The sequence below is a fragment of the Homo sapiens genome, chromosome 19, assembly GCF_000001405.40.
Source record: "Homo sapiens chromosome 19, GRCh38.p14 Primary Assembly".
In the NCBI taxonomy this organism is placed as follows: domain Eukaryota; kingdom Metazoa; phylum Chordata; class Mammalia; order Primates; family Hominidae; genus Homo; species Homo sapiens.
The window spans coordinates 4951975-4977529 of record NC_000019.10 but is presented as its reverse complement, the minus strand read 5'-3'; the positions used below and the strand labels follow the sequence as shown (position 1 = coordinate 4977529).

General features: G+C 53.2%; 2 protein-coding genes across 21 annotated transcripts in view, besides 4 other annotated features; both read right to left on the bottom strand.

Moving 5' to 3' along the window:
- Nucleotides 1–8417, bottom strand: part of KDM4B (lysine demethylase 4B) — a 184486-nt gene extending 176069 nt beyond the window's left edge. For all 12 annotated transcript variants that reach the window (XR_007066691.1, XM_005259521.5, NM_015015.3 and 9 more), the window contains exon 1: nt 8300–8417. The gene's annotated coding sequence lies outside the window, so the exon portion shown is untranslated. The remainder of the gene's footprint in view (nt 1–8299) is intronic.
- Nucleotides 5854–5923: an enhancer, noted in NCBI's record as "active region_13790". NCBI's record gives its function as "activates an Ori minimal core promoter by ATAC-STARR-seq in GM12878 lymphoblastoid cells {active_cell/tissue: GM12878}" and the evidence as "EXISTENCE:reporter gene assay evidence [ECO:0000049][PMID:35858748]".
- Nucleotides 6928–6977: an enhancer, noted in NCBI's record as "active region_13789". NCBI's record gives its function as "activates an Ori minimal core promoter by ATAC-STARR-seq in GM12878 lymphoblastoid cells {active_cell/tissue: GM12878}" and the evidence as "EXISTENCE:reporter gene assay evidence [ECO:0000049][PMID:35858748]".
- Nucleotides 8244–8543: a silencer, noted in NCBI's record as "silent region_9915". NCBI's record gives its function as "represses an Ori minimal core promoter by ATAC-STARR-seq in GM12878 lymphoblastoid cells {active_cell/tissue: GM12878}" and the evidence as "EXISTENCE:reporter gene assay evidence [ECO:0000049][PMID:35858748]".
- Nucleotides 8854–8953: a silencer, noted in NCBI's record as "silent region_9914". NCBI's record gives its function as "represses an Ori minimal core promoter by ATAC-STARR-seq in GM12878 lymphoblastoid cells {active_cell/tissue: GM12878}" and the evidence as "EXISTENCE:reporter gene assay evidence [ECO:0000049][PMID:35858748]".
- UHRF1 (ubiquitin like with PHD and ring finger domains 1) overlaps nt 15376–25555 on the bottom strand; it is a 59075-nt gene continuing 48895 nt past the window's right edge. For all 9 annotated transcript variants that reach the window (NM_001290050.2, NM_001048201.3, XM_011527942.2 and 6 more), the window contains 4 exons: nt 23042–23180; nt 22708–22880; nt 20717–20821; nt 15376–16873 (listed from right to left, as the gene is read on the bottom strand). In NM_001290050.2, the coding sequence (NP_001276979.1) occupies nt 16727–16873; nt 20717–20821; nt 22708–22880; nt 23042–23180 (564 nt within the window). In that variant the 3' untranslated portion in view covers nt 15376–16726. The remainder of the gene's footprint in view (nt 16874–20716; nt 20822–22707; nt 22881–23041; nt 23181–25555) is intronic.

Sequence of the window (25555 nt, the reverse complement as noted above, 5' to 3'; positions counted from 1 at the left end):
TCGGAAGGTGCCAGCACTTGGGTCCAGCTATGAATGCTGACGGGAGGTCTATGCAGGGGGAAATCCTGCCACCGTGCCCTCAGCTGACGTTTTCACAGCAAGTCACCCAGGCTTGTCTGAAAAACACAACGGTGGTCGCGCCTACCAGCAAACGGGGCCAGGTCTGCGTGAGTGACTGTCACTGTGCACCTGAGAGCCCTCGGGGTCTTGAGGTGCAGCAGCCACTGGGCAGTCGGCCTCGGGATTCTCAGCCTTTGTCCATTGAACAAACACGATCCCAGTCCAGAGCCACAGAGCAACTTCGCGCTCGGCCACCGCCAAAGAGGCACAGCCTGCCAGCAGGGCGGAGATGGCTGGACGCAAACTTGTCATCCATCCCCTCGTGTTTGCTGAGATCACTGAGGTGGATAAAGAAAGAAAAGAAAGAGGGAAGGGAGGAAGAGCCAGAGAAGCAGGGAGAGAGAGGGGGCAAGCAAAAATAAAAAAAAAACAGAAAAGAAAAAGAAAAAGAAAAAAAGACAGGCAACTTTTGAAAGCCAAGAAATTCTGAGCAAGCCTCTCCAGATTGTTTATTTCAATCAAGGAAAGAAAGCATGACCGTAAATTAACGGTACGATTTCTTGACAAGTCAGAACGTTCCTGGGACAGGCCCAAATCTAAGATGCCAAAGACCTACTTGGCTCAGAAAATGCCTGTCAGCCAGGAGAAGAGTGAGACAAAGGAAGTGTGGCCGGGCACAGTCCCCCACTCGGCTACTGACCGCACGATGGCCACCGACGGGCACTTGTCCACTCACTCTACAAAGCTGAGCTCTGCACTGGATAAGCCACCTCCCTCATGAGGCTTTCTGTGCTCAGGGACAGCAGAAACCACCATCTGCGACTCCCCTGCCCCTCCCATCGGGGGCGCTAGCACTGGTAACGAGGAGAGTTCCGATGCTTACAAAACAAAAGCCTTGTGAAATTGTGCAATGCTGTCTTCCTTTTAAACAAACCCTCAGTTCCTGCCAGGTCACACTGAACTCCTTGGGCCGAGTACACGGCTCGACGTGCTTCTGACGCTTGGTGAGCTGTAACAGAAAGGCAGCCGCGTGAATCCCAGAGCAAGAGAGTCTGGCGTCTCAAACAGCGAAGCGTTCCCCCCACCTACACTGTTTGTAGCTGTTTTTTCCCTCCTTTATGGTGAGGCTGTCTGGGTGGATGTCAGCATCGCATTTTCTCACATTCCTGCAGTTTTAAGGATCCTTGAAATGACCCATGACCTTTTTTTTTTTTTTTTTTGAGACTGAGTTTCCCTCTTGTCGCCCAGGCTGGAGTGCAGTGACGTGATCTCAGCTCACTGCAACCCCTGCCTCCAGGGTTCAAGCGATTCTCCTGCCTCAGCCTCCCAACAAGCTGGGATTACAGGCATACACCACCACGCCCAACTAATTTTGTATTTTTAGTAGAGACAGGATTTCTCCATATTGGTCAGGATGGTCTCGAACTCCTGACCTCAGGTGATCCACCCGCCTCGGCCTCTCAAAGTGCTGGGATTACAGGCGTGAGCCACCGCACCCGGCCATGCCCCATTTTTTTTTTAAGGCTAGAATATGACTCTAAATGCTTTGAAGTTAGGAAGATACAAATTCACACTCAGGCTGGGCACGGTGGGTCACGCCTGTAATCCCAGCACTTTGGGAGGCCAAGACAGGCGGATGCCCTGAGGTCAGGAGTTGGAGACCAGCCTGGCCAACATGGCGCAATCCCATCTCTACTAAAAATACAAAAATTAGTCGAGCGTGGTGGCATGCACCTGTAATCCCAGCTACTCAAGAGGCTGAAGTAGGAGAATCGCTTGAATCCGGGAGGTGGAGGTTGCAGTGAGCCGAGATCAGCCCACTGCGCCCCAGCCTGGGCCACAGAGCAAAACTCTGTCTCAAAAAAAAAAAAAAAAATTCATTCACTCAACAAGGAATGTCCACTCAACACCCACCACGTCTAAGGAGCTGCCGTACATTCTAGGGGTCGTGAGGCTGACATGGTTTCCATAGCTTTCCGTAGTGTGGCCCTCACACCCTAGCCAGGTATTTGCAAACTACAACCCACAGGTTCAATCCTGCCCGCCACCTGTTTTTGTACAGCCTGCAGTCTAAGAATGGTTTTGACATTTTTTAGTCGTTGGAGGAAAAAAAAAGCAAAAGAAGAAAAATGTCTTATAATGTAAAAATTGCACGGAATTCACGTTTGTGTCCATAAATAAAGTTTTACTGAAACACAGGCACACTCGCCCACGGGAGCTTTCTTGCTACAACGGCAAAGCAGAGTGGTCTGGACAGAGATGACCTCTGGCTTACAAAGCCAAAAATATTTATTCTCCGGCCCTTCCAGAAAAAGCCCCTGCCCTAGTAGATGAGACAAACAGATACACAAACAGACTAATACCCAGCTCTGATCGTGTGACATGCAAAGGAGGAGAAGTAGGGAAGGGAAGTGACTAGAGTGATAAGGAGCCGGCTGGGTGGAAAGAGAACCAGGCAGCGGGCACAGCAAGTGCACAGGTCCTGCGGCAGGGAAGGGCGGGCAGGGAAGGCGGCTGTGCCAGGAAAGGAGCAGGTGCAGGAGGAAGAAAGGGAGGAAAGGAAGGAAGGACAAGGCCACAGATGACAGAGCGAAGGGGCCACGCGAAAGGGCCCAGAATTTTTCCCAAGGGCAACAGGAAGTCACCGGAAGGTTCTGAGCAGGGGAAAATCTTTTGTTTGTTTGTTTGTTTTGGTTTTTACTCCTTTGACTACCTTCTTTTTTTTTTTTTTGGAGACAGAGTCTCGCTCTGTCTCCCAGACTGGAGTGCAGTGGTGTGATCTTGGCTCACTGCAGCCTCTGCCTCCCAGGTTCCAGAGATTCTCGTGCCCCCACATCCCGAGTAGCTGGGACTACAGGCGCCCACCACCATGCCCGGCTGATTTTTGTATTTTTGTAGAGATGGGATTTCACTATGTTGGCCAGGCTGGTCTCAAACTCCTGACCTCAGGTGATCCTCCCGCCTCGGCCTCTCAAAGTGCTGGGATTACAGGCGTGAGCCACCACACCTGGCCAGTTTTTTATTTTATGTATTTATTTACTTACTTACTTACTTATTTATTTATTTTTGAGATGGAGTCTCGCTCTGTCGCCCAGGCTGGAGTACAGTGGCGCGATCTCAACTCACTGCAAGCTCCGCCTCTCGGGTTCACACCATTCTCCTGCCTCAGCCTCCCGAGTAGCTGGGACTACAGGCACCGGCCACCACCATGCCCGGGTAATTTTTTTTGCATTTTTAGTAGAGACGGGGTTTCACGGTGTTAGCCAGGATGGTCTCGATCTCCTGACCTTGTGATCTGCCCGCCTTGGCTCCCAAAGTGCTGGCTTTACAGGCGTGAGCCACTGCGCCCGGCCACTTATTTATTTTTTTGAGACGGAGTCTTGCCCTGTCACCCAGGCTGGAGTGCAGTGGCAGGATCTCGGTGCAATTCTCCTGTCTCAGTCTCCCAAGTAGCTGGGACTACAGGTGTGCACCGCCACGCCCAGTTAATTTTTTTATTTTTAGAAGAGACGAGGTTTCACCATGTTGGCCAGGCTGTTCTCGAACTCCTGACCTCAGGTGATCCGCCCGCCTCAGCCTCCCAAAGTGCTGGGATTACAGGCATGAGCCACCGCACCCAGCCAGTTTTTTTTTTTTTTTTTTTTTAATATGCTTTGTTTCAGAGAGCAGTTTTAGGTTCACAGCAAAACTAAGCAGGAGGTAGAGACTTCCCATGTTCCCCGCCCCAACAGGGAAGGCCATTTTCCGAGCTCCTCAAGGGAGCAGGAGGGAATAGACGGACCCAGATCTAACCAAGTCCAGCATCCTAGAACAGGCCAGTCACGCAGGGAGTGAGCTTGAAAATTAATTTGTCCAAAAACCAAGAAACATCAATTCGTCAATCCACTCCCCCCTCAGTATTTGGGAAGATACAAATTTTCTTTTTTTTAATATAGTGGTTAAGCTCATTTGAACGCGAATTAGTAAAAGTATGTGCAACTTGGCCGAGCATAGTGGCTCATGCCTGTAATCCCAGCACTTTGGGAGGCCGAGGCAGGCGGATCACTTGAGGTCAGGAGTTTGAGACCAGCCTGGTCAACATGGTGAAACCCCGTGTCTACTAAAAATACAAAAGTTAGCAGGGTGTGGTGGCGGGCACCTGTAATCCCAGCTACTCGGGAGGCTGAGGCCAGAGAATCACTTGAACCCGGGAGGCGGAGGTTGCAGTGAGCTGAGATCTAGCCACTGTACTCCAGCCTGGGTGACAGAGTGAGATTCTGTCTCAAAATAAATAAATAAAAGTATGTGCAACTAGCACATTAACGTTCCACAACTCTGGGGACATTACTGTTCAGGAAGAGGCCAAGATCAAAGAGGTGAGTCATTTTTAAATGGACTTAAAGAAAACTGTCTGGCAAATCGACAGGTCAGGGCTATGGTGACTGGGAGGGTGTGGAAGTGCCACCCCTGGGGGCAGCCAAGCAAGCCTGGGCAAGGACCTGCCAAAGCTCAGAGGCCAAAGAGCAGCCCAGGAAGACCCGGAGCTCAGAGGCCAGAGAGCAGCCCAGAAGACCCCACAGATGCCGGGCTGCCCCTCATTGCAGGGCGTGCAGGGGACCCCGTGGGGGCTCCTGTCCTCTCAGGTGGAAGCTGCCACCCTGGAAGGGCAGAAGGACAGTCACGGAGAACCTGAACAACCAGGTGAGGAGTGTGTCCGGGACACAGTTTGCAAATAGGAGTCACTCACTGCTAAAGGGTGAGTGGGGAGGAAAGAAAGGGAGCTGAGGCCCATCACGGTCACAGCACACCATGAGCTACTGCAGGGCTGAAGGCCAAGTCCAAGGTTCTCACTGCGGGGTTGACAGTGCTTCCCAGGGGACATTTTTGGTTGCTACCGCTTAGGGGACAGGGTGCTACTAGCATCTGGTGGGTGGTGGTCAGGGATATTGTTCACACTCACCCTACGGTGCCCAGGACAGCCCCGCCACAGAATGTCCCAGCCCAGAACGTGGATAGGGCAGAGGTGGGGAGACCCTGACAGGGCAGAGGGCCTTGCTGTGTAATAAACCGGCTCCGAACTCAGAGCTCCTGGCACCCTGCAAGCTTCAGCGCCTTTTACCCGCTTTGATCCTCACAACCACCTGGGAGGGAGGTGTTCCCATTACACCCATTTTACAGAGAAGAAAGCAAGGCCCAGAGAGGGGAAGTGACTGCCTCAGAGGAGGGATCTGAATCCAGGTCTCTCCAACTCTGAAGCCTGTGTGGGGCATGGGACAGAGGGCAGAGATCCAGAGACGTCGTCAAGACCACCAGATGAGAACGGAGCCCAGGCTGGGCCCCTGCTCTTCTGTCCGGCATCCTAAGCCAGGAACAGAGACCCCTGGGGCAGGAAGGGGGAGGGCTGTGGCATCTGAAGACCCCATCGAGCTGCCTCATGGCAGGTCCCTGGAGCTGAGCCAGGAGCCTAGGGTGAGGCTGTGGATGAGGACGGCCGATCTGTCATGGCGGTGACCAGTGCAGGCCTGCGGAGCTCCCCCCGCCCCGAGCCCCCACCCTGTTCATCTGCTCTCCGTCCCCTCCTGCCCAGTGGGCTCCGAAAGATTTAGTGCCCCCGATCTGCTTTGTCACTGAGCAAGTGACTGGGTCAAGGTCACCCAGCTCTGAACCCCCAATTCCGCTCCCCGATCCAGGGAACAAAGCCACCTACAAATGCACCTCAGGCCCTCAACAGCCTCGCCTCCTCCTGCCTGCTCCCTGAGCTGGGCCCGAGGGCAGCGGACTGCACACCACCATTCCAGCTGTGACCAGGCCCTGGGCAGCCAGCTCACCCTTTCCCCCACTACACTCTAAACCCACAGGAGCCAGGGACTCCTCCCAACCTGTCCCGGCATGGCACTCGGCACTGGAAACCTAGCAGCCCCAGACCAGGTGAACGCATGACCCCAAGGCACGTCCCCACAGGTGTCAGATGGAACCGAGGACAGATGGCTTCCCCAGAGCTGAGGCTCCTCCCCGGCTCATCAGGGAGTGGGTGGGGCATAGGACAAACGGGCAGGAAACCAGCAGAGGAGACAGAGAAATTAGGAATTAAAGTACAGGCAGAGTGGTCAGGTGGGAGAGAAGGACACAGAGGACGGCCCCTGGCCACCCCAGAGGGCTCCTGCAGGACGGGACAGGGACTGAAGACAGGGCAGGAGGCTGAGGAAGGGTCTCTTCCACGAGACAGAAAAGTACAACAAAGGCCAGGCGGGGTGCTGTGCGGTGGCTGATCAGCTATACCTTTAAGCGCCAGCAGTTAACATCTTGTTAGCAGCCCCCTCCCCAAAGAGGAAAGGGTTAGAAAATGCGAGCAAACGGATTGTTACTAAGACATATATATTTCAGGTCTCAGCAACTAAACACACACGTGCACACGCAGGCACCCGCAGCTCCTGACACAGTAGACGCTTCCACCAAAACAGCCTGTACACAGACACCCGTCTGTGCGGCAGAATCTCCGTTACCCCCTTTTCCTCCCCAGCGGTGACCTCCTCTAGGCCAGGACAGTCTGACCCGTCCTGGTGTCGCCGGCTCAAGGAGGGGGAGCGCCCGGACCTGCCAGGTGTCCAATCAGACACACGGAGACGAGGCTGGCAAGTCCCAGAAATCCTCGGCTCAGACAGAAGTTGACTCTACCACGGCTTTACGCTCCGACCTTCAGGGTTTCAAAACATAAACTGCAAAGCGGAGAGAGGATGCCCACTGCTTCAGCAGGGGCTGCAGGAGAAGGCTGACCCCGTGTGTTGACAAACCCTCCTGGTGGCTCATAAGGAAGCTATTATTGGAGAATTAGGGGAGTCATTAGCTCCCATAACGGCAGTGATAAAAGCCCATAGGAGTCGTCTAATGAGCCTGCTTTAGGACTGGTGCTGTTTTTAGGAGCATTCTCCAGCCCGGGGACATTCTGATAAATGGCCATTGAGGCAGAGGACTGGGGCAGGGCACCGATCCCTTGAATTCAGTCCAGTATCCAGAGATCCCAAGACAGTGCAGGCACCCGGTGGGACCCAAAGGAACTTGCTGAATACACGCCCCAGCCAGAAACACATGGAAAAAGACGCTCTTCACATATGACAGGATCACTAGGCTCCACGGAGCTGAACCACCTTCTCACTAGTTTCACAACTCGGGGAACACTTCCTCACAGGGTGCTGGTAAATTATTAAAACAGAAGCATCCTCCCCCAAGCAAACAGATGGGATGCACCCAAAAGCAGTCCATGCCTCCACTGCCCCCAGGGGCGGAAAACATGCCCCTTAAAACCTTCCACCGTGCCCAGGTGGACAGAGTCCCCCGTCCTGCCTGATTGTCATGGCCACCACTGAGCGCAGACCTGGGCCCTGGCAGACCCCAGGTCAAGCAGATTTCAGAGCGAGTCCGTCCCCAGCTCCCAGGGGGATGTCCACGGGGGACACAGAAAAGGGGTCTCGGCGGAAGCAACTCCTCAATTCATTTCTCTAGAGCAGGGGCTTCGTTCGAGATGGCGATCAGGCTGGAAGGGGGAGGGACGGAGAGACTCGTGGAGGCTGCCGTTGCATAGCAAGATGATTTTTTTCTAAAATCCAGATTGCATATGCTTATGGCGGGGTGGGGGTTTCGGGTACGTACAGGGGGGCAAGTTTGGAAGCTACCAAGGCATAGCAGGTTGACCGGAGGTGGGGGCAGTGCAGGAGCAATGATAGGCATTTAGGGGGCATCCCTGGGTGTCCAGCTGGGGGGCTTCCCCTTAGCCCCCCTGGCGCCCAAAGGGCCAGAAACGCAGGCGGGGGTTACCCAGGGGCTGGGGTCTTTTTCCTTTTTCTTGCTTTCTTTCAAAAATAATAATAATAATAGGCCGAGGCTTGTCCCGGGTGATAAAAGGGCCCGGCCGGGGCCACCCACGCTGTCATCTTTTGTGCGGGGCGCCGGGGCCGTCTGTGCCCAGCCCCCGCGCGCCCCCGGCCCGGGAAGGGGCCCCCGCTCCCGCCCCTGGGCGCGCCCCGCCATTGTCCGGCCCCGCCGCCCCCGCCCGAAAACCAGCGGGCGCCCCCGGGCCGGGCGGTTAACGCCCCAACCGCCCCGCCGGCCCGGACAAAGCGCGAGGCCCGGCCCGAGCAGGCCGCGCCCGAGGCCTGGGCCTCGAGTCCCGGGCGCGCCCGCAGCCCCGAGCCGCGACGCGGGGGCGGCCATGGCGGCGGGGTCCGCGCTCGGACACGGCCGGGCGGCCTCCCCGTGGGCTCACCTGAGGCGGCGTGCGCGGCCCGGTCCGGGAGCAGCGGCGCGCTCTCCCCCGCCCTCGGCGTCGCACCCCCAGGCCCCGCTCGGGCCGGGCCCCGCTCGGTTGCTGGCGACCGAGCCCTCCGCAAGCGCTCGCGGGGGGGCTTATAAGGCCGCGCGCCAGCTCCGCCCCGACTGCCATTGGCTGCCGGATCCACGCCCGAGCGCCCATTGGCCGGAGCTGACAGCTCCGCCCCTCCCCTCCGCCGGGCCCATCAACACCGCACGGCCCGCCCACCGCGCGCCGCGATTGGGCGGGGACAAACGCCGGCCTCGCCTCTTCATTGGCAGACCGGCGGGGACACGCCGGCGCCCACCCACGTGCCCGCTGACCGGCTCTGTTCTCATTGGAGGGGGCGCACGCCAGCCAAGGCTGCCGCGACCAACCCGACGGCAGCTGGGCCTTGGATTGACAAGGGAGCCTCAGGGCCCGCCCGACGACCGCACAGAGAGGAGCCAGTATTGGCTTGAGGGGCCAGCCCGAGGCGCGGACAGGCTGGGGCAGGTGCCAATCACTGCCCGCAAGCTCCGGGCCCCGCCCTGGTTATCAGGCGGCGGCTGAGTACGTGAGACCCAGCACAGCATCAGCACCGGCCGGGAACGTGCAGGCTGGAGGTTCGAAACCCGTGGCCGGAATGTGGGCTTAGCGTTCCCCAATTTGCAAAGTGCCAAGCAAGGAGACATAGCGATCCGTTTTGCAAAGGAGGAGAACCGAGAACATAGGGTAAAGCAGCAAGAGCCTCCACCCCGCCACCGTAGGTCTATTCCCATCACAATCAACAAACCTTTGCCAAGGGGCAAGGCCTTCGGAATAGTTAGGGTCCCTCTCCCCGAGTTCCCTAAAATGTATGGGAGAGAATGAGCTTTGGTGCTTTCTGACCTGGATTCAAAGCTAAGCCGGGCCCCATGCCTCACTGTGGTTGACCTCCAGCAAAGTAACCTCGCTGAGTCTGTTTCCAACTGTGCAATGGATATGATGGTAGTGGCCACACCCCGTCTACCCGCCTCTTGAGAATGTTGCAAGGATTAAGTGGGATGAGGCACGGAGAAAGATTTGACCCTGTGACTTCACAAAATGAGCATTCATTGTGTACTGGACCACGCAGGGGTGTGAGGCATGCCCCCATTTGGAGTGGCAGGAGTGTAAATTGGGCAATTTGACATTTTCTAATAACATTCTAAGTGCATCCACCACCCGATAACCCAGCCAGCAGTTCTTCCTGGAGGTGATGTACCCAGAAAAAAGGTCTGGAGCTTACACAATTCAAGAATGCCGGCGGCAGGGCTGTCTGCAACTGTTTCCAATGTTTTGCACTAACTATCCATCAGTGGGGGATTAGAGAAGTAACTTAATAGCAATCAGTACTCTGGAATACTTACTATGTAGCAATTGAAAAGGAGGCCAGGCCCGGTGCTGTGGCTCGGGCGACTCACACCTGTAATCCCAGCACTTTGGGAGGTCGAGTCGGGTGGAACACCTGAGGTCCAGAGTTCGAGACCAGCCTGGCCAACATGGCAAAAACCTGTCTCTATTAACAAATACAAAATTAGCCAGGCATGGTGGCGCATGCCTGTAATCCCAGCTACTCCAGAGGCTGAGGCGGAGGTTGCAGTGAGTCGAGATCACTGCACTTCAGCCTGGGCAACAGGGTGAGACTCTGTCTCAAAAAAGGAAAGAAAAGAAAAAAGAGAAGGCCGATCTGTTTGCAAACATGAAATATCTCCCAACCGCTGAGCTAGGGACAGTGGTCCAGAATCCTGTACTCAATAAAATAAATATGGAAACACACACAGAAACCGGTATCATGAGGTTAAGAGCACACAAGCTTGTCAATGCACAGAAAAAGGTACTCCTAAACTGAAGAAACGAACTTAATCCTTGGGGAGAGAAGGAAAGCTGCACACTGGTAAAAAGAGAAGTCAAAGGAGAATTTAAGAAGCTCTGGGTGTTTTAAATTCTTATGGGACCATATTCATATATTCCACATGGAGTTGAGATTTAATTTCAGGTCATGCCTGGAATCGCAGCACTTTGGGAGGCTGAGATGGGCAGATCACTTGAGCCCACGAGTTTGAGAACAGGCTGGGCAATATAGCAAGACTCCGTCTCTACCAAAAAAATTACAAAAGTTGGGCGTGGTGACACGCGCCTATAATCCCAGCTATTCGGGGGCTGAGGCGAAAGGATCACCTGAGCCCGGGGAAGTGGAGGCTGCAGTGAGCCGTTGATTACACCACTGCACTCCAGCCTGGGTGACAGAGTCAAACCCCGTCTCAAAATAAAAAGTAAAAACAAAATTTAAAAACAGGCTGTTGCCCAGGCTGGGTGTAGTGACTCACATCTGTAATCCCAGCCCTTTGGGAGGCCAAGGTGGGAGGATCACTTGATCCCAGGAGTTTCAGGCCAGCCTGGGCAACAGAGCGAGACCTCTTCTCTACTAAAAATAAAAACCGAGTTGATTGTGCGGGCACATGCCTGTGGTCCCAGCTACACTGGGGGCTGAGGGAGGATCACTTGAGCCCAGGAGGTCGAGGCTGCAGTGAGCCATGATCACACCACTGCACTCCTGGGCAACAGAATGAGACCCTGTCTCAAAAAAAAAAAAAAGTGCAATCATGAAGGGAAAGAGTCCCCACCCCACGTACCACATACATAGGGCTTTTTGTTCTACTTCCAAGTATATTCTCTGAGACAGTGGGGGGTGTTTAGATTTCACAGACAATATAAATGTTTTTAACCGAGGAACCCAAATGGGTTCTCCACTTTATTTTGCTTAGACAAAGTTTTCATGCCATCTCTTATGAGAAAAACTTAACATGATCATAGAATCTAGACGGTAGGTCTGAGGGTTCACCATCCGATTCTTTCCAAATCCGATTCTTTCCAAGTTTTGGAAACTCTTCATATTAAAATGTTAAAAACACACTAGAATTGCTGTCAGATAAGTAGAAGTCCTCATCCTCCAAAAAGGAAGGAAATGCTCTTTAGAATATTTTAATGGGCAGATTAATTTAGGCAACACTCACCTAATTGCCCTGGTTTTCTTCCATCCTTTGCAGTCAGATGCAAATCTCACAAAGGACTGGGGCAGGGAATGCTTGGGGACCTCCCCCTAAACAAGACCAGGAGGCTTGGCTTGGCTTTCAGACGTCAAGGAACCCCCAGTTAGCAGGCCCAATGCTCAATTTCTGACTGGTCTCCCTCAATCTTTCTAGACAGGCAAGGTGTGGAGCGCAAAAATGTTCAATGCTTCAATAGATGCCCCTCCCCTTATGGGTTGGTCTGCTGCATTAACAAATTGAAATGGGAGGCCAGGTGCAGTGGCTGTAATCCCAGCACTTTGGGAGGCTGAGGCAGGAGGATCACTTGAGCCCGGGAGTTCGAGACCAGCCTGGCCAACATGGCAAAAACCCCATCTCTACAAAAAGTACAAAAATCGGCCAGGTGTGGTGGTGCATGCCTGTAGTCCCATCTACTAGAGAGGGGAAGCCCGAGAATTGCTTGAATCCAGGAGGAGGCAGCTGCAGTGAGCTGAGATTACACCACTGCACTCCAGCCTGGGCCATGGAGACTATCTCCAAAAAAAAAAAAAAGCAGTTGGGGACTGGGCTTCATGGCTCACGCCTGTAATCCCAGCACTTTGGGAGACCGAAGAGGGCAGATCACTTGAGGTCAGGAGTTCGAGACCAGCCTGGCCAACATGGTGAAACACCGTCTCTACCAAAAATACAAAAAAATTAGCCAGGCATGGTGGTGCACACCTGTAATCCCAACTACTCCGGAGGCTGAGGCAGGAGAATCACTTGAACCCAGGAGGTGGAGGTTGTAGAGCCGAGATTATGCCACTGCACTCCAGCCTGGGCAACAGAGCAAGACTACATCTTAAAACAAGTCAAACGGGGATTATAGAAAGGTGGCCCATCCGTACAGTGGAATATTACTCAGCCATGAAAAGGAATAAAGCTCTGACACAGGCTACAATGCAGATGAACCTCGAAAATTCCATCCTTAGTGACAGAAGCCAGACACAAAATACAGTATAATTCCATTTATATGAAATGTCCAGGACAGGCAAATCCATAAGGATAGAAAGAGGATTCGTGGCTTGCAGGGCCTGGGGGAGGGACACAGGGCAAGACTGCGGAAGGGTGTGAGGTTTCTTTTTGTGTGGATGTTAAAGTTCTGTAATTAGATGGTGGTGATGGCTGCATAACTGTATTGACTATACTAAAACCACTAAGCTGGCCAGGCATGGTGGCTCACACCAGTAATCCCAACACTTTGGGAGGCCGAGGCGAGTGGATCACCTGAGGTCGGGAGTTCGAGACCAGCCTGACCAACATGGTGAAACCCTGTCTCTACTAAAAATATGAAAATTAGGCGGGCATGGTGGTGCATGCCTGTAATCCCAGCTACTTGGGAGGCCGAGGCAGAAGAATCACTTGAACTCGGGAGGGGGAGGTTGCAGTAAGCAGAGATCTTGCCACTGCACTCCAGCCTGGGCCACAGAGCGAGACTGTCTCAAAAACAACACAGTAAAATAAAACCACTGAACTGTATGCTTTAAAAGGGTGACCTTTATATTACCTGAACTGTTATCTCCATAGAGCTGTTAAAGATTTTTAGGGTGGGCATGGTAGTTCACATCTGTAATCCCAGCACTTTGGGAGACCCAGACAGGAAGATGGCTTGAGACCAGGAGTTCCAGACCAGCCTGGGCAACAAAGTGAGACTTCTCTCTACTAAAATATATATCTCTCTCTTTAAAAAAGTAGCCAGGCATGGTGGTTTGCACCTGTAGTAGTCCCAGCTACTCAGGAGGCTGAGGCAGGAGGATTGCTTGCGCATGGGAGTTTGAGGCTGCAGTGAGCTATGATGACACCACCACTGTACTCCAGCCTGGGTGACAAAGTGAGATCTTGAATCAAAGACTTTTTTTTTTTTTTTTTTTTTTTTGAGACAGAGTCTCGCTCTGTTGCCCAGGCTGGAGTGCAGTGGTGTGATCTCGGCTCACTGCAAACTCCACCTCCTGGGTTCAAGCGATTCTCCTGTCTCAGCCTCCCAAGTAGCTGGGATTGCAGGTTCATACCATCATGCCCAGCTTATTTTTGTATTTTTAGTAGAGATGGGGTTTCACCATGTTGGACAGGCTGGTCTCAAACTCCTGACCTCAGGTGATCCGCCCACCTCAGCCTCCTAAAGTGCTGCGATTACAGGTGTGAGCCATCGCACCCGGCCAAAGAAATTTTTTTAAGTGAACCAGGAAAGAAATATGCCCAAGATTAGAGTCGGTGGCAAAACAGTTCCACAAATACTTTTCTGGGTTTTGCTCATTTTTTTAAACATGACATTGTTCTTTAAAGGGAGAGAAAAATCAAAAAGAAGGCAGCAATCTCAACAATGAACCCACTTTAGTGTTTTCTAGGAAGGGCCCACTGGGGACATTTATGGAGTTTCCTTCAAGAACTGGGAATCTTATCTTCACGTTCACACTTGACATATTTCTGGTATAATCCACATACCATACAATTCACCCACTTAAAGTGCACAATTCTGGCCGGGCGCGGTGGCTCACGCCTGTAATCCCAGCACTTTGGGAGGCCGAGGGGGGCGGATCACGAGGTCAGGAGATCGAGACCATCCCGGCTAACACGGTGAAACCCTGTCTTTACTAAAAATACAAAAAAATTAGCCGGGTGTGGTGGCGGGCACCTGTAGTCCCAGCTACTTGGGAGGCTGAGGCAGAAGAATGGCGTGAACCCGGGAGGCGGAGCTTGCAGTGAGCCGAGATCACGCCACTGCACTCCAGCCTGGGCAACAGAGCAAGACTCCGTCTCAAAAAAAAAAAAAGGAAAAAATAAAAATAAAAAATAAAGTGCACAATTCTGTGGATTTTAGTATATCCACAGACATGTGCAACCATCAATTTTAGAACATTTTTACCACCTCAAAAAGAAACTCCAGGCTGCACGTGGTGGCTCACGTCTGTAATCCCAGCACTTTGGGAGGCTGAGATGGGAGGATCGCCTAATCACAGGAGTTGGAGACCAGCCTGGGCAACAGAATGAGATCCCGTCTCTCCAAAAAAAAAAAAAAAAAAATTAAATTTGCCAGTTATGGTGCTGCATGCCTGTGGTACCAGCTACTCGGGAGGCTGAGATGGGAGGATCACTTGAGCCCAGGAGTTGGAGGCTGCAATGAGCTGTGATCACACCATTGCACTCCAGCCTGGACAACAGGGCAAGACTGTCTCAAAAACAAAACAAATCTGCCCATATGGTTACTTAACCATCAATAAAAGGCACCAGTAATAGGTTGATGTGAATTAATTAATCTGCAAGACGCAGCCCCTTTACCGTCCCGATTTTTTTTTTTTAAAACGTTTTTAAAGACAGCATCTCATTCTGTTGCCCAGGCTGGAGTACCGTGGTGCAATCAAAGTTCACTGCAGCCTCTAGCTCTGGGGCTCAAGCAATCAGCCTCCTGCCTCAACCTCCTGAGTAGCTGGGACTACAGAAACACACCACCACACCTGGCTAATATTTTTATTTATTTGTAGAGTTGGGGTCTACAGGCTGGTCTCAGACTCCTACACTCAAGTCATCCTCCCAAGAGAAGAGACCAGCAAGCTTTGCTGGCCAGGCAGTGAGTATTTTTCAGCTTTGTGGTCCAGATGGTTTCTGCTGTACCTACTCAGTTCTGCTGATGGTAGCGTAAACGCCACTATATACATAAAGAAATGGGTGTGGTGGTGTCAATAAAACTTTATTTACAGACAGGCAGTGTCCTGACTTGGGTCCCATTGGCTGTCGTTTGCTGACCCCTGCAACTTGACGCTGCAAAGTGAACAGCCCAGCACCTCCCAGGCTGCGGTTAGGACCTCAGCCCGTCACCGTCATCTCCTGGGTCTCAGTTTTCTCATCTGTAAAGTGGGGCTGAAGCCACCTGCCTCATGTTTCTCCTGGGATTTTTGTAAAATAGTGCACAAAAGTAGACAGAAAGCTCCAAAGGCAGTTTGCAAATAGGAAGACACAATCAAGTCTATCTGTGAAAAACATTTATTCTGAGAATCTAAAATCTGGACAAAGTACTGGACTTTAGAAAAAGCCTACACAAAATTGTCTCATTCTTCCCTAATACATTAATAATCTAAGAATAAGGAGGTGAAAAAAACCCTTTAAAAATAACATTGCTCCAGTTTGTCTGCAGGTATGTGATTTAAAATATCCCTGTTTTATTGAGGTATAGGCTGCAAACTTTGGTAAAATTAGAAAAATTAACAAACCCTTTCAAAAGAAAAAAAATACAAAAACAAAAACAACCAAACCCTAACGTTATATCTTTCTTGGTACATATACAGTAACTACAAAAAAAATTCATTTAGAAAATGTGTTCATTAAGAGAAAAAAAAATTTTAAAAAAACCCTCTTGTAAGTTCTCACTTGCTGAGTTAAAAAAATTGAATGTAAATGATCTATAAGGCTCAAACGGTTCCCAAGCACCCATCCGGTGTCAGGAAGAACTGGATGACCGCAGTTTCTAGAATCTGGTTGACATTTTCAATAATTCAGTGCTAACAACAAAGACTGTCGTCTTTAGAAAGAAGGAACGAATCAAAGGCACTTGCACGTGACTTCGTGTGCTGGCGTCCGTCCGTGGCCGCCTTCGTCGGACAGCGTCAGTCACACGCCTGGCCCCACGTGGAGCAGAGTCCCCTTGAGGCCATTTCTGCGTGGCCCCAACTCCCTGCTCTCGTGGGCAGAGGACTTTTCACGCGGATCTCAGACGCTAAGCAGTCTGGTGGGGGATGGCTTTGAGGCAAAGGTTTGAACTAGGCCCGAGATGTTTCCTCTTTTCCTTGCAACAACTTCAACAGACAGCTGAGCCACGCCATGCCACGGGCTGCCACGGGCCACCACGGGGAACCATGTCACTGGACTTTAGATGACAAAATGCTGTCAGGAAGATGCTTGCTCTGACCTTGGGGGCCAGAACCCGAGAGAAGGACTGATCCTGTCGCCTTCTTAAAGAGTTGGTGGCAGCAACTTCTGAGAACTTGACACCAGAAACATCAACAGCCTCCACACCACGTAGTTTCTGATTCCATCTTTAAAAAATCTTGTGTTGTTTTGTCGAGAAATTGCAGGCTTTTATGTTTTCAAAGAACTAAACACAATACTGAGAAGTCCAACTTTTAGCCAGAATACATAAATTCCTGAAAATGTATAGATTTGAAAAATAAAAATAAAAAAAAAAAGGAAGACAAACCTTTTTAGGGAACGGAGGAAACACTACCTGTTTAAGTTAAGCCCACTAAGAACAAAATCAGTGCCGATGAACGAGCCCTCCGACACGTTTTCAGCAAAACGCCTGTCGAGAAGTGCTTGGAGATCACCGGCCATTGCCGTAGCCGGGGAAGAGCTGGTTGAGGACGGTCTGCAGAGGCTGGTTCACCTGCATGGCATAGCTGCGGCCCAGGTCGTAGCGGCAGGCAGGGCAGCTGAACACCTGTGCCCGAAAGGATCTGTCCAGGCAGTCCTGTAAGACACAGCAGGCGCGTGAGAAGTGCCATCCACACCATCAGGTTTGCTCCTGGCCACCTCTCCCAGGACTGTGGGGACAGTCTCACCAGGTCCAGAGGCCCCTCTGACCTTCAGTCTCACTTTCCACCTGCTGCCCATCACCAGCCTGGCCCCCCTAGGGGCCCTCAAAGATTCCAAGCTCACCCGGCCTCCAGGCTTTTGTCCCTGGCAGGTCATGCAGCTTAACAGCTCGGTCCCCCGGCTCTCATCACTCACAGCTCAGCTCAAGTCACCTCCCTTATGGGGCCTTCCCTGACACCTCCCTAGAGGCAGTCCCATCCCCTCACCCCATCTGCCTTCAAGACGGCACCTCTCCTTCCACCTGTGGAGCCGTGTTATATATTATTAATGTGCTTATCTTATCTACAACAGGGCAGATGCTCCCTGAGCTTTGAGGCTGTGTTCTCTCTCAACACCAAGCACAGTGTATACAGTAGATGCTTAATAAACACACACATCAGGCCAAGCATCGTGGCTCATGCCTGTAATCCCAGCACTCTGGGAGGCCGAGGGGGGCAGATCACTTGAGGTCAGGAGTTCAAGACCAGCCTGGCCAACATGGTGAAACCCTGTCTCTACTAAAAATACAAAAATTAGCCAGGCACATGCCTGTAATCCCAGCTACCTGGGAGGCTAAGGCAAGAGAATGGCTTGAACCCGGGAGGCGGAGGTTGCAGTGAGCTGAGATCACGCCATTGCACTCCAGCCTGGGTGACAGGGCAAGACTCTGCGTCTCAAAGAAAAAACAAAAACAAAAAAATTAGCCGGGCGTGGCTACTCCGGAGGCTGAAGTGGGAGGATCACCTGAACCCAGGGAGGCAGGCTGAGGCTGCAGTGAGCCATGATCACGCCATTGCACTCCAGCCTGAGCGACAAAGCAAGACCTTGTCTCGAAAAAAATAAAAAATAAACATACACGTCAATGAGAAGAAAGGGGAAAAGGAGGAAGGAACCAAGTCTGGTGGATTCAGATTCCTAACTTCAAGCTCAATCAACCAAGTCGTGCCTGGGGAAGAAAGCCAGGAGAAGACAGAGCTGAGAGGCCTGGAGTCTCCACTTCCCAAGCAGACAAACAGGGAAGATGCCACCGGGCTGGCTGCACGCCAGGGAGGAGTGACACGCCGTACACAGGTGCACAGATGCCTACGCAGGGGGCACATGTCTGCAGCATGTCGTCACACAGCTGGGCGAGGGCGGTGACCACATGGGGGAGAGGCCTGGTGACCACAGCACAGTCACCTGCCCCAGGCAGCCTGTGGCTTTTGTTTTTGTTGTTTTTTTTTAAGATAGAGTCTCGCTCTGTCGCCCAGGCTGGAGTGCAGTGGCGTGATCTTGGCTCACTGCAACCTCCACCTCCCGGGTTCAAGGGATTCTCGTGTCTCAGCCTCCTGAGTAGCTGGGATTACAGGCGCCCACCAGCACACCTGGCTAATTTTTGTATTTTTAGTAGAGACAGGGTTTCATCATGTTGGCCATGGTGGTGTATGCCTGTAGCCCCAGCTACTCAGGAGGCTAAGGCAGGAGGATCTCTTTAGCCCCGCGAGGAGTTCAAGGCTGCGATGAGCTATGATGGCACCACTGCACTCCAGCCTGGGCGACAGAGTGAGATGCTGTCTCTGAATGTTTTTTTCAATTTTTTTTTTTTTTTTTTGAGACAGAATCTTGCTCTGACGCCCAGGCTGGAGTACAATGGCGCGATCTCAGCTCACCGCAACCTGTACCTCCCAGGTTCAAGCGATTCTACCACCTCAGTCTCCTGAGTAGCACCTGTCACCTCACCCAGCTAATTTTGTTTTAATTTTTAGTAGAGATGGGGTTTCACCATGTTGCCCGGGCTGGTCTCAAACTCCTGACCTCAAGTGATCCTCCCACCTCAGCCTCCCCAAGTGCTGGGATTACAGGCATTAGCCACCACGGCTGGCCTCAAGTTTATAATTTAAAAAGATCAAGGTGGAAGGTCACAGCCTGTTTCCCAGAACCCCTCCGATGCTGAGCTTCCCAAGTTGGAACAGAGCAACAAGGACAGATTGTGGGGACACCGTGATGCTGGTTAGCCCCTTCCTTCACATCCTCAGCGCTTCCGCGCCTTCACACCGATGCACAGGACAGATGGTTTCCAATGTCCCCACAGTCCTTCCTACCGCCACGGGGCTCCCAGGCCTCCCTCTTCCAATAGCCCCCCACAGCCAGCCCTCTGCCTGTGCCCACCTCCTGAGCACCTCCTTCCTGCCAGAGGCTAAGCCGGGACCTTCACAACAACCTGGCATCCAGGACAGTGTTACCAGGCCCCTTCTCACTGTGGCCAACTGAGGCTTGGAGGGATTAGTGCCTGCACGCCTGAGAGGTGACAGATGGCCAGACCCGGACCACCAGCCCCAAAGACACCATGGCCTCTCACCCCTTCTGCCACCTCACTCAGGGCACTCAGGGAGGCCCACACAGCTGAAGGGACTCAGGCCACAGGGCGAGGCAGGTGGGGCCCGAGGAGGCAGAGATGCCATGGGCATGACTGGGAACACCCCATCTCCTGACCTTCCCTGAGCTGCCTCCTGGCATGAAAACAAACACGGGGTCTGAGACCCGGGGGTGTGGCCCATGGCTGAGAGGACTGCGGGACTGCAGTTGGAAGGAAAACCGCCAGCAACTCAGAAGCCTGGGGAGATCCGTGGGGTGGCAGGGTCAGTCCCTTCCACACCTGTCCACCGGGACTGCCGGCTCTGGCCAGAGGTTGCAGCAGAGAAACCATCACCCAGACCCACACTGCCCACCTGGGCAGTTCTGCCCCCAGGGGACACTGGAAGGTGTCTGGGGATGTCTGTGATTGTCTCGACTAGGCAGGGAGCTCCTGGCATGGAGTGGGTGGGGGCCGGGGATGCTGCTCAGCACCCTGCAGTGCCCAGGACGGCCCCACCCCAGACAATGATCCAGCCCCAAGGCCCACAGCACAGGGGGGAAGAGACCCTGTCCTGGCCCCAAACCAATCGGTTTGAAAACCATCAGCTGCGGGGTGGGCGCGGTGGCTTACACCTGTAATCCCAGCACTTTGGGAGGCCAAGGCGGGTGGATGACAAGGTCAGGAGATCGAAACCATCCTGGCTAACACGGTGAAACCCCATCTCTACTAAAAATACAAAAAATTAGCCGGGCACGGTGGCGGGCGCCTGTAGTCCCAGCTACTCGGGAGGCTGAGGTGGGAGAATGGCGTGAACCCGGGAGGCAGAGCTTGCAGTGAGTGGAGACTGCGCCACTGCACTCCAGCATGGGCAACAGAGCGAGACTCTGTCTCAGAAAAAAAAAAAAAAAAAAAAAAAAAAACCATCAGCTGGGATCTTGTGTCCCTCCTACGACTGACCACTTGTCCTGAGTTTAAAGCCCATGGCAGGCCACCACCCCAGTGCCCAGAGCCACTGCAGGCCCCAGCTGCTGACTTCCCACCCAGGCTTCTTCACCTGCTGTCCCAGGTACAAGGGATGCTGCCTGGTAACACCACCTCCTCCAAGAAGCCTTCTTTCCTGACCCCTAGGGGATGTGCACCTCCTCTCCAGACCTTAGGCCAAGACTGTGGCCCATCCTCTCCCACCCTGGCCCCTTGACCATACAGGACTTGGGGGAGAATGTTATAGGCCTCCGTGGTAATACAGGCTGCCCAGAAAGCAGTCAACAGGGCCCCGAGAAAAGCTGCAGAGTGAGCGGAGCAAAGCCAACAAGCCTCTGTCTGTAGTGGCAGGCATGTGGGAACGGGAGGTCAGGTCATCCTTCCAGAACCTTCCACCCGGCTCCCGCGGCCATCTCTACTCACCTTGCACACGTTGTGCTGGCACACGGTCGTGATGGGCCGGAACACCAGCTCCTGACAGCAGATACACTGGAACGTCTCCTCCACTTTACTCAGGAACAACTGGAACTAGAGGGAAGCGGGTGTGAGGCCGGCAAAGACACCGGGACCAGGGCTCCCACAGATCAGTGGCTTCCTGCTGAGCATGTACCTGGGTCCTCTAATTCTGTCCCCAGCCTTCACTCCAGGAGGCGGGGGCCATGATCGTCCCCGTTCTGAGAAAAACAGAGGCCCAACAGGCATGAGCCTCACCTGAAGTCCCCAACACCCCAAGTGGCAAGGTGGGGAGGATGAGGCGGAGCCAGTACAAGGGCGCCAGCCTCAATGATGCTGGGCAGGACCCAGATATGACCAGCTGGCACCACCAAGCACACCCTGCACTGAGTCAAGACAGGGCTTTAGGAGAGGTTCCTGGCTGGGAGCGGCAGCTCACGCCTGTCATCCCAGAACTTTGGAAGGCCAAGACAAGAGGATCGCTTGAGCCAGGTGTTCAAGACCAGCCCGGCAATACAGTGAGACCCCCATCTCTACAAAAAATTAAAAAATAGGCCGGGCATGGTGGCTCACGCCTGTAATCCCAGTACTTTGGGAGGCTGAGGTGAGCAGATCACCTAAGGTCAGGAGTTCGAGACCAGCCTGACCAACACGGTGAAATCCCATCCCTACTAAAAATACAAGATTAGCCAGGCGTGGTGGGTGCCTGTAATCCCAGGTACTTGGGAGGCTGAGACAGGAGACTCACTTGAACCTGGAAGGTGGAGGTTGCAGTGATCCAAGATCATGCCATTGCACACTCCAGCCCGGGCAACGAGAGCAAAACTCCATCTCAAAAAAAAATAATAAAAATAAACAAAATAAATTAAAAACATAGGCGTGGCCTGGGAGTTGGGAGTTCAAGGAGGCAGTGACCTTTGTCCATGCCACCGCACTCCAGCCTGGGTGACAGGGTGAGCTCCTGTCACCAAAAAAATTTAGAGGCATGGTGTCCACTGACACAATGCATACTGAGTACACGGGCCACCAGGAGCCCAGCCTCGGATGACTCGAAAGACACCTCCTCCTGCTTGGAGCTAAGTGCGGGGACCAAAGAGACACAAGTGAAGGTCTAGGGGCAAGGGGCTGCCCCAGCGTAGGGTGGGAGCTGGGGAGAAAGCCCTGGGAAGAATGTGGCCTGAAGGAAATGGGAAGAGAGGGACCACTGAGATGGCCTCGGCCACAGCTGAATCCTGAGACCTGCACCATCCTGAGACGTCACCATCCACAGCAGAGGAGAAATGGCAGGTGGGACTGAGTGAAGGACCTGGAGCTGGGAAAGCATCCTGGGTGAGGCGGGGGGCCTGATGTCACCCCGAGGTCCTCCCGAGAGAGGGCGGGAGAGTGAGACTCAGAGACTGGAAGAAGATGCGCTGTGGCTGTAAAGGGGGAGGAAGGGGCCCCGAGCCGAGGGATACAGTGCCTCTAGACCTTGGGAAAGGCAGAAATCTGGTTCTCCCCTGGAGCCCCCAGGAGGGCCCAGCCCTATCCCTGCCCTGACTTTAGCCCAGCAAGGCCCATGTCGGGCTCCCAGCCCCAGAGCTGTGAGATGTGAGTCGCTTTGCACTCCTAGGCTTGGGGTCACTTTGCAACAGCCCCGGGAGACAGAGACAGAAGGTAGGATGGCAGGGGGTGCCGGAGCTGGGGAGCGGGTGCAGGGGCTGGGGAGCAGTTGCCGGGGCTGGGGAGCGAGTGCCAAGGCTTGGGAGGGGGTGGGAGTGACAGTTTCAGGGCCAGGGTTTCAGTCTGGGGAGAGGATAAAGTTCTGGAGGTGGTGATGGTGGTGATGGTTGCACAACCACAAGAATGTACTCAGTGCGACTGAGCTGTACACTTGAAAATGGGGAACATGGGAAACAAGCCCCACACATTTTACCGCAGTCAACGCAAATCAGGGCGACGAGTGAGCCGTGCGAGCCTACCGGGCTGCCGCTCGCCGGCCGGTCCTTGAGTGACGCCAGGACCTCATTCCACAGCTTGGCGTTGCTCTTGTCCTCTCTGATGAGGCTGCTCTGCTGGGCCGTGAGACTGTAGGGCTCCACCTTGGTTTTCTTGGATGTCCGGCGCGGGGACCCGGCCCTGCTCGGGCCACCTCCTGGAAGAGGGTGGGGCGCGTGAGGGAGGGGCGCGTGGCCCGAGCTGCCGGAGAGACAGCCACCGGCTCCCACGTCCACACGACCTCAACCCCACACCCGCGAGATGCCCACCTGCTCCCCCACACACAAGACGCTCACCCCACACCCACGAGATTCTCACCTGCCGACTTCCGCTTCCACTTGCCCTTGCCCGTCCTGGGGGACGCGAAGCCCCCCTCCTGCTGCTCCTCCTCCTCCCTCTTGCTGTTCTCCTTCTCTCGCTCTCGGTTGGCCAGGGCTTCCAGGTAGCCTTCTGGATACTTCAGGAGGAAGAGGGACAGCCGTGAGTCAGGCTTGGGGCCCACACGCTATGCAGAGCCCGCTCTTCCAGCCTCCTTGCCAGGTCTGGGTTTCCAGACACACCTGACCCCCAATCCCCCTGAAGAGCACAGGGTAGTCCTCCCTTATCTAGTTTTGCTGAGGTTTCAGTGACCCAAAGTCAACTGAAAATGTTACATGAAATATTCTAGAAACAATTCCTAAGTTGTAAACTGCACACTGTTCTAAGTGTCCAACGTCTAGAGGCGCTGCATCCCTCGGCTCGGGGCCCCTTCCTCCCCCTTTACAGCCACCTCACATCACGCACACTGCATGATGAAACATTGCATCGTCCCACAGGGATGTGAACCTTCCCTTTGTCCAGCTTCTCGATTCTCCTGCCTCAGCCTCCCGAGTAGCTGGGATTACAGGTGCCCGCCACCACACCCAGCTAATTTTTGTATTTTTAGTAGAGATGGGGCTTCACCATGTTGGCCAGGCTGGTCTTGAACTCCTGACCTCAAGTGATCCACCTGCCTCAGTCATCCAAAATGCTGGGATTACAGGCTAAATATAAAATATTAATATTAAACATTCTAATTTTTATTAAATAAGCCCAACACTTTGGGAAGCCAAGGCAGGGGGATCGCTTGAGCCCAGGAGTTTGAGACCAGCCTGGGCAACATAGCAAGATCCCCTCTCTACAAAAAAATTTAAAAAATTAGCCGAGCCTGGTGGTGTGCATCTGTAGTCCCAGCTACTTAGGAGCCTGAGGCAGGAGAATCACTTGAGCCCAGGAGTTTGAGGCTGTAGTGAGCTATGATCACACCACTACACTCCAGCCTGGACAACAGAGCGAGACCTGGTCTCAAAAATAAAAATAATGGCCCCAAAGTGCAAGAGTAGGGATGCTGACAATTTGGAAATGCTAAAGAGAAGCCTAAGATGCGAAAGAGAGGTTGTGAATCTCATACTGTGCCTAATTTATAGATTAAACTTAATCACCAGTCCAAACGTATGGAAAAAAAATTATACATCAACGGTTTGGTACTCTCTGGTTTCAAGCATGTGCTGAGGACCTTCGAAGTGTCCCCCTGGTAAGGGGGGGACGCCTGTGCATTCAGCTCTTCGTTAACTGTGGAGCCTCGACCAATGGCTAATCCTGTCTAATCGCAAAGCTTCACTACGAACAAGAGGAGACTAAGAGGAGATAATCGGCCAAGCTCCACCTGGCAGGGTCGGGGTAAGCGCATTTAATGTGAGCGAACGCGGGTGACGTGTTCAGCATCACATCCCACCAATAAGATCTCGTTGTCTTTACGATTTCCATGAGGGCAGGCAAACTTTTGCTTCCAGGGACCCTAGGGTGAATGTTTTCAAGCCTTATGGGTCTGGACTGCAAGCGCTGAGAGCAGGCTACTTCAGTGAATGAGCATGACTGTTTCCCCAGAAACTTCACTTACGAACACCTGACCCCAGGGCCTTAGCTGGCCAAACTCTGGTGATTCTGAGGACTCGGGCCCTCTCTGTCCTCACAGGGCATCATCGCTCCATTTCGAAGGTACCTATAAGTCACGTCTGACTCTCCAGTGTCTCAGGAAATCTTTGAGCTCCTTTCACATTCTTTATGTTACAATGGAGATGAGAGTCATAAAAAAAAAAAAAATCCTGGCCAGGGTCAGCGGCTCACACCTGTAATCCCAGCACTTTGGGAGGTGGAAGCAGGTGGATCACCTGAGGTCACCAGCCTGGCCAACATGGCGAAACCCCGTCTCTACTAGAAATACAAAAATAGCTGGGCATGGTGGTACACACCTGTGATCCCAGCTATGCAGGAGGCTGAGATGAGAGAGTCGCTTGAGCCTGGGAGGTGGAGGTTGCAATGAGCCGAGATCATGCCTGCACTCCAGCCTGGGCGACAGAGTGAGACTCTGTCTCCAAAAAAAAAAAAAAAAAAAGGCTGGGAGCGGTGGCTTACGCCTGTAATCCCAGCACTTTGGGAGGCAGAGGCGGGTGGATCACCTGAGGTCAGGAGTTCAAGACCAGCCTGACCAACATGGTGAAACCCCGTCTCTACTAAAAATACAAAAACTGAGCCAGGCGTGGTGGTGGGCACCTGTAATCCCAGCTACTCAGGAGGCTGAGGCAGGAGTATGGCTTGAACCTGGGAGGCAGAGGTTGCAGAGAGCCGAGATCCCACCACTGCACTCCAGCCTGGGCGACAGAGCAAGACTCCATCTCAAAACAAACAAACAAAAAAAATCCTACTCCCAACAGAAGCTGAGGCTGTCTCTCCCATTACTATTTTTCTCTCTACTTCCTCAGCTTCTGAAATTCCCCACCGTACAAATCCATTCAAAAGACAACCTGAGTGACC